This window comes from Homo sapiens, chromosome 8 (genome assembly GCF_000001405.40).
Source record: "Homo sapiens chromosome 8, GRCh38.p14 Primary Assembly".
NCBI lineage: Eukaryota > Metazoa > Chordata > Mammalia > Primates > Hominidae > Homo > Homo sapiens.
Window position 1 is genome coordinate 81,230,228 of NC_000008.11, and position 6,374 is coordinate 81,236,601.

The window sequence follows — 6,374 nt, forward strand, 5'->3', positions numbered from 1 at the left end:
GAAGGCCACACGCAGGAGGCAGAGCTTAGAGTGATGCAGTCACAGTCAAGGAACTCCTGCAGCCATCAGTAGCTGGAAGAGGGAAGGAAGGACTATCTCCTGGAGTCTTTAGAGGGATCAGCAGCCCTACCAGCCACACCTTGATTTTGAACTTCTGGCTTCCAGAACTATGAGAGAATAAATTTCTATTGTTGTAAACCACCCAATGTGTAGTAATTTGTTACATCAGCTCTGGAAAACTAATACATCTCCCCTACTATAAGCTTCTGGAGGGTAGAGATTTTGTTTCATTTCTTATCCTATTTTCAGTGCAGAGAACACTGCCTGACATGTAAATACTTGTTGAATAAATGAGTGAGTAGAAACATGGAAATGAATCTCCGGCTTACTCAGAAGATGAAATTTTTTTTTAATAGCTTTTACAGTCATTATGAAATTGCCTGCCCCAGAGGACCATTTTTGTTTTTCTGGTCTATCCTCCTTCTGAGACAGTACATGTGGTGCTTAAGAGCTGAGGCTCTGAACTTTGACAGACTTGGAGTAAAACTTCAGCCATGGAATCACTGACAAGTGTGATATTGGACAAGTTAATTAATATTCCTAAGGCTCAATTTCTATATTTGTTAAAATAGGCCACTCACATAAGATTGGTGGGAGGATTAAATGAGATAGTAGATACACAATCCACTCATTGTTTACTGCTTGACCACGTAAATTCATAGTAAATTCGTATGATAATAATGATAATGATAATTACTTAGGATTTATAAGGAATGCCTAAAATTTTACAGACTCAATTATTTTTTTCATCTTGAATTCCTTTAAAATAACATTCATTGATTGTAACATTTCTTTACTAAGAATTTCAATCAAGTAAGCCCTTTCTATCCACAAAATACTCTACTGTAGTGTTTTAGGATTTGCAGAATTACTTTTATGTAACCCATATAAGCCATGATAATGTCGTATTAAATATGGGCACATTGCTGTGAATTCCAAGTTATAAAATGAAATCAGCCCAGCCTGAGCAGCCCGCCACACCCCTGTCTCTTGCTTCTCTGCCTTTGGGTTTGCTGTGCTCATTGCTATCTCACGAAAAGAAATGATCTCCTTGCTGTTTATGTTGTGATTTAGTGCTTAAGTATCACATATTGATATTGTGTTCCACTCAGAGAGACAACTTTTCAAAAACATAATCACTAATTTGCATATATTAGCATAGAGTTGGCATAACAAACAAAAATTCATAAACTACTACATCACTACAGCAAATAAATAGATATATAAATAAACCTGAAAGAAGATCTTCACAAATATGAAGAGGTGACTGGATACAATTTTGAAGTGTTGCTAAACGAGGAGTGAGGAAGGTGGTATCTCTTTAGAAGGCACGATAAGTGGTCTTGATCACTTTCATTATTTTGTTCACTGAACATAAAAATATTTATTAGACTTTCATTAATTCACTCTCGGCCTCACTCAGTCTCTTTCATTCTCATGTAAAGTCCTACATTTCTCAATGGCAAGGTAATGTAATCGTTGGGTTTGGAGACAGAATATATGGCACTTAATCTGAAGGCCTGACTCTGGCCAAGGAAATCTTACCTGCTCCACCTCGTGAGCACGCTCCAGCCCCAAGCTCTGTCTCAGCAGCTTCCTTTCTGTTTTTCAGAGTTAGTTCAACATAGAACCTTTGACCCCACTGCTTCCCTGCTTCCTTGGCGTCAGGATGCATTTTCCTAGATCTTTTTTTTTTTTTCTTGCAACAGGGTCTCGTTCTGTCATCCACGCTGGAGTGCAGTTATGTGATCACAGCTCACTGCAGCCTTGAACTCCTGGGCTCAAGTGATCCTCCATCCTCAGCCTCCCTAGTAGCTGGGGCTCAGGCATGTGCCAGTGTACTTGGCTAATTTTTTGTTTTTTTATTTTTAGTAGAGACAAGGTCTCGCTGTGTTGTCCAGGATGGTCTCAAACTTCTGGGCTCAAGCAATCCTCCTGCCTCAGCCTCCCAAAGTGCTGGGATTACAGGCATGAGCCATGGCACCCAGCCCCAGGTATTTATTTGGCCAGCTTCTTCAGAGAGGCTTCCGTAGATTCCTGCTCACCCATCATCTTGGTTTCATTCTTTGCCCAGCATTAATACTGTTCTTGGTGTGTGTGTATGTTTGCGTGTATGTATGTGTGTGTGTGCACGTGTTTGCTCATTCATAGGTGAACTGGGTGTATCCCCACCCTATTAAAAAATAAGATCTGGCCAGGTGCGGTGGCTCATGCCTGTAATCCCAGCACTTTGGGAGGCCGAGGCGGGTGGATCACCAGAGGTCAGGAGTTCGAGACCAGCCTGACCAATATGGAGAAACCCCGTCACTATTAAAAATACAAAAATTAGCCAGGTGTGGTGGCACATGCCTGTAATCCCAGCTACTCTGGAGGCTGAGGCAGGAGAATCGCTTGAACCCAGTAGGTGGAGGTTGCGGTGAGCTGAGATTGCACCATTGCACTCCAGCCTGGGCAACAAGAGCAAAACTCCATCTCAATAAATAAATAAATAAATAAGATCCATAAAAAGAAGACTCTGTCATGTTCCCAGCTGTATACCCAGTGTTTACAATACTTCCTAGTACCTAACAGATGCTCAATAAATACATACTAAATATAATCAATGCAAAAACTTCCCCTATGTTTATTTTATTGATAACTTCTCTTCTCAGTCATAGATAGTACAAATTCTGACTTCCAAATTCCAAATTCAGTCAGAGATATTCCAAATTCTGACTTCTGGAACTGCAGAAAAACACACAACATTAGCATGTAATATTTAGCGAGGGAATACTACTACCAGTAACACTACACACAGGTGTTGGCCAGTAAGGTAGATAGGGTATAATTGGAGAGCATTTGGTGAGGAGATTCAGTAATGTGAAGGTTGTCTTGCTACCAGCATCTCTTGCACTTTTGCATTCCAGAGGGAGAAGCATAGGCAGAGAAACCCTGGCAAAGAATAGCCAAGGACAGCTTTATTATTAGCATTGATGGCACCTCAGATCACAATGGAAGTTTGCTGGTAAAACACACCAGAGTAAGAAGAGGCCCCTGGCCTGAGATGTGTGGGAGTGGTGGCAGCATCTGACAGCTTTCTCTACTCAGGCTCAGATAAAATCTTGGAATGTTATTATTCTTCGGGTAACAACATGATACAAATTATAGTAAATGCATGAAATGCAGAGCGATGGGGCATTGGCTGAGGCACCTTCCATACGGTGAGGGTCCTGGGTCTTTTATTATTCCAGACATGGGGATTTAGAAAGAAGAACCACACCCAGTAAGTGTATCTCTGTATAAACTATGGGGGAGACTCTCAAGAAGTTAAACATATACTTACAAGATGACCTAGAGTTTACCCAAGATAAATGAAAACATGTGTTCACACAGACTTGTATTTGAATGTTCCTTGTAGCTTTATTCATAATAGCTAAAAACTAAAATCAAAACAATGTTTAGTGCTGGTGAAGGGATAAGCAAATTGTAGTATATCCATACAATGGAATATTACTCAGCAATTAAAAACTCCATCGAAATATACAGTATCATGGATGAATCTTAAAAAGCATTATATTGAATGAAAGAAGACAGATAAAAAAGACTACTTACAGTGTAATTTCATTTATAAGACATTCCAGAAAAAGAAAACTAGAGTGACAGAAAGTGGAGTATTTATTGTCAGGAGCGGGGAGAGGGGAAAGAGGTAGAAGATTGTTTGCACAAAGGAATGTGCAGTTTTTGAAGTCATGAGAAATGTTCATGATAACAGTGGTGGATACACAACAGTATACATTTGACCAGGCTCATCAAAAATTCAAAATAAAACCGGTGGATTTTATTTTATATTAATTATATCTCAAGAAAGCTGATTATATATGTATATGTACACACATAAAAATACATATATCTTCTATAAATACTCTGGGATCCTATTCAAAGATATTAGCACTTCTTCCTTTTGAAGAACAGGGGAAGATGGAGGAAGAAGAGGCTTTTTGTTCTCATTTAAAGGAACAGCCTCTGGGGCATGTTCTAGCAAAATCACAATGGGTGACATACTTTCTGTTTCATTCCGCATGGTTCTGAATAGTTCTTCTTATTTCACATTTTGGAATTACAAATTCTTCTTTGTGTTCTTTAATGACATGTTTTCTGGCTAGGATTTTTTTCCCTTTTAAATAAGGCTGGGGGATGGGCAAGGAGCATGTGAGGCAAGTGAGGGGCGCAGGGTTATGTGTCCTCTAAGAAACAGGAAATGCATAGTCAAGGATTCCCATGGTTTGTGTGAGTAAATTGTGACCTGAACTTGCTGTGACTCAGCCTGATGCATCCCTTACATATTTAGAGTGCTCCCATCATTAAGCCCTCCATTACACAAAGATCCCCACATATTGTGATTTTGGGTAGAGCCTGTGTTTTAAACCAAGAATTGTTGGAGTGTCCCTGTGATCTATTCATACCTGTAAGTTGGGTGAATTTTATCAGTGCTATTAACAGAAATGATTATTTTAGGTCTTAGAGCAAAGTTTGAATTTTGGCTTCAACCCATCTGAAGAACTAAATTACAGATGACAGAGGACAAAATTAGGTCCTGCCTTATATATGTATTTTTTGGACTGTTTCTACATGACAAATATTTGTACTTAGGATTTGTACCTATTCAACCTAAGTTCAATAGTTGAAAATGTAAGAGAATGAAGGGAAATGTATAAGTCAATCCAAGTAGACTCATTACCAGACTTTTACTAGAGTAAGTAACACTCTTACCCTGGTAGGTAGTAAATAAAACAAGGTCTACTACTCTAGATTTACTGTAGCAGATAGATGTGTGGCCATTTGAAACCAGAGATATCTACAATTTAAAAGGCCAGGATTACAGCCTTCCACCCTCCCATCTTGGTGAAGGAAGGAATGAAAAAGCACATATTCTCTTTAGTTTTATTTTGTTGATTATACATTTTAAATATGTGGGAAATTATTTTGATTAGTTGTTTTTGATTCTTGACTTGAAAAAAGAAAAAAAATCCCTTTAAAGCTTAATCATTATTATTCCTATTTCAATCTGCTGTGTCTGAAGGAACGCAGCTATCTGTAACCATTGCTAAACCTCTTGGCTTCCAAGATTTGACCGCGCCCAGTCCCAACTCTACGCAAGCTAGGCTGGTTCTGCCATCTAGCGACTTTCTTATTGAACTACATTGGTAGGGCATTACCTAATTTGGTCGACTCAAGCCCTGAGAATTAATTTTAATGTAATGCCATGTGATTAGTTTTGGCCTTTACATCCTTTCATCCCTATTTACTGCCTGTGTGATTTTTGGAAAAAATATTTAACATTTCTGTGACTCAGTTTATTCGTCTGTAGAAGGGGGATAAGGACCTAACTCCTACCGTTTTCATGAGGCTCATCTGAGATAATGCACAGAACACACTTAGCAGAGTGCCTGGCACAGGTAAATCCTGGAAAAAGATTTGATGTTGTTATATTTATAATTGTAACTATAATTATGCAAATCTAGAACTGAAAAAATAGACTAAATTATGGGAAATGAAGTTATGGATATGAGTATTCCAGAATAAATTAAGTATATAATATTTAAAGCTTGGAAGAGGAACAAGTTTATTTAGGTTTTTTATGTCACTGCCAACAAATGCATTACTGCAATTATACTTGCCTCCTTCCAAGCCTTTCCCCACCTCATACTGAATGTTCCCATCACAGCAGACAACTCATTACTCTGTGCACATTTTAATGCCTTTCTTCATCTTTCTGGAGTTTCTCCCTCACATTTTACACTTCACAATCTTTAACTCCTAAATCAAATGTCAGCTTCCCATGCTATCAAGTGGAGTTGAATCCTGTGTGGCCCTTTATTCTCATCTCTGTTAGAGCATCTGACACAGACAGGCTGCACACGAGTGGACCGAGTAGGGTCTGTGCAGCCACGTAAGTCGAGGCTGAAGTCCCTTCCATGAGATACTGTGTATTCTCTTTGCATCTTCTCTCTCTCTCACCTCAACACCTAATACAAAAACCTCATACAATAGGTGCTCCACTAAAGCTTGTTGAACTGAGATAAGAGCTTAGCAAATATCTAACAGTGACTTTTTAGGATGGCTTACTCACAGAAGCTTCTAACATACATTGGACTAAGTTAGCCCAGTGGTTTGAGTGGGCAGGTTTGGTCCATCAAAATAGTCTTTTAAATTAAATAATTAGGTCAAGCTTGGTGACTCTCGCCTGTAATCCGAGCACTTTGGGAGGCTGAACTGGGTGGATCACTTGCCGCCAGGAGTTCGAGACCAGTCTAGCCAACATGGAGAAACCTGTC

The 6,374-nt window shown here is 39.2% G+C and overlaps 1 annotated feature.

Moving 5' to 3' along the window:
- Window positions 303-442: an enhancer, noted in NCBI's record as "active region_27580". NCBI's record gives its function as "activates an Ori minimal core promoter by ATAC-STARR-seq in GM12878 lymphoblastoid cells {active_cell/tissue: GM12878}" and the evidence as "EXISTENCE:reporter gene assay evidence [ECO:0000049][PMID:35858748]".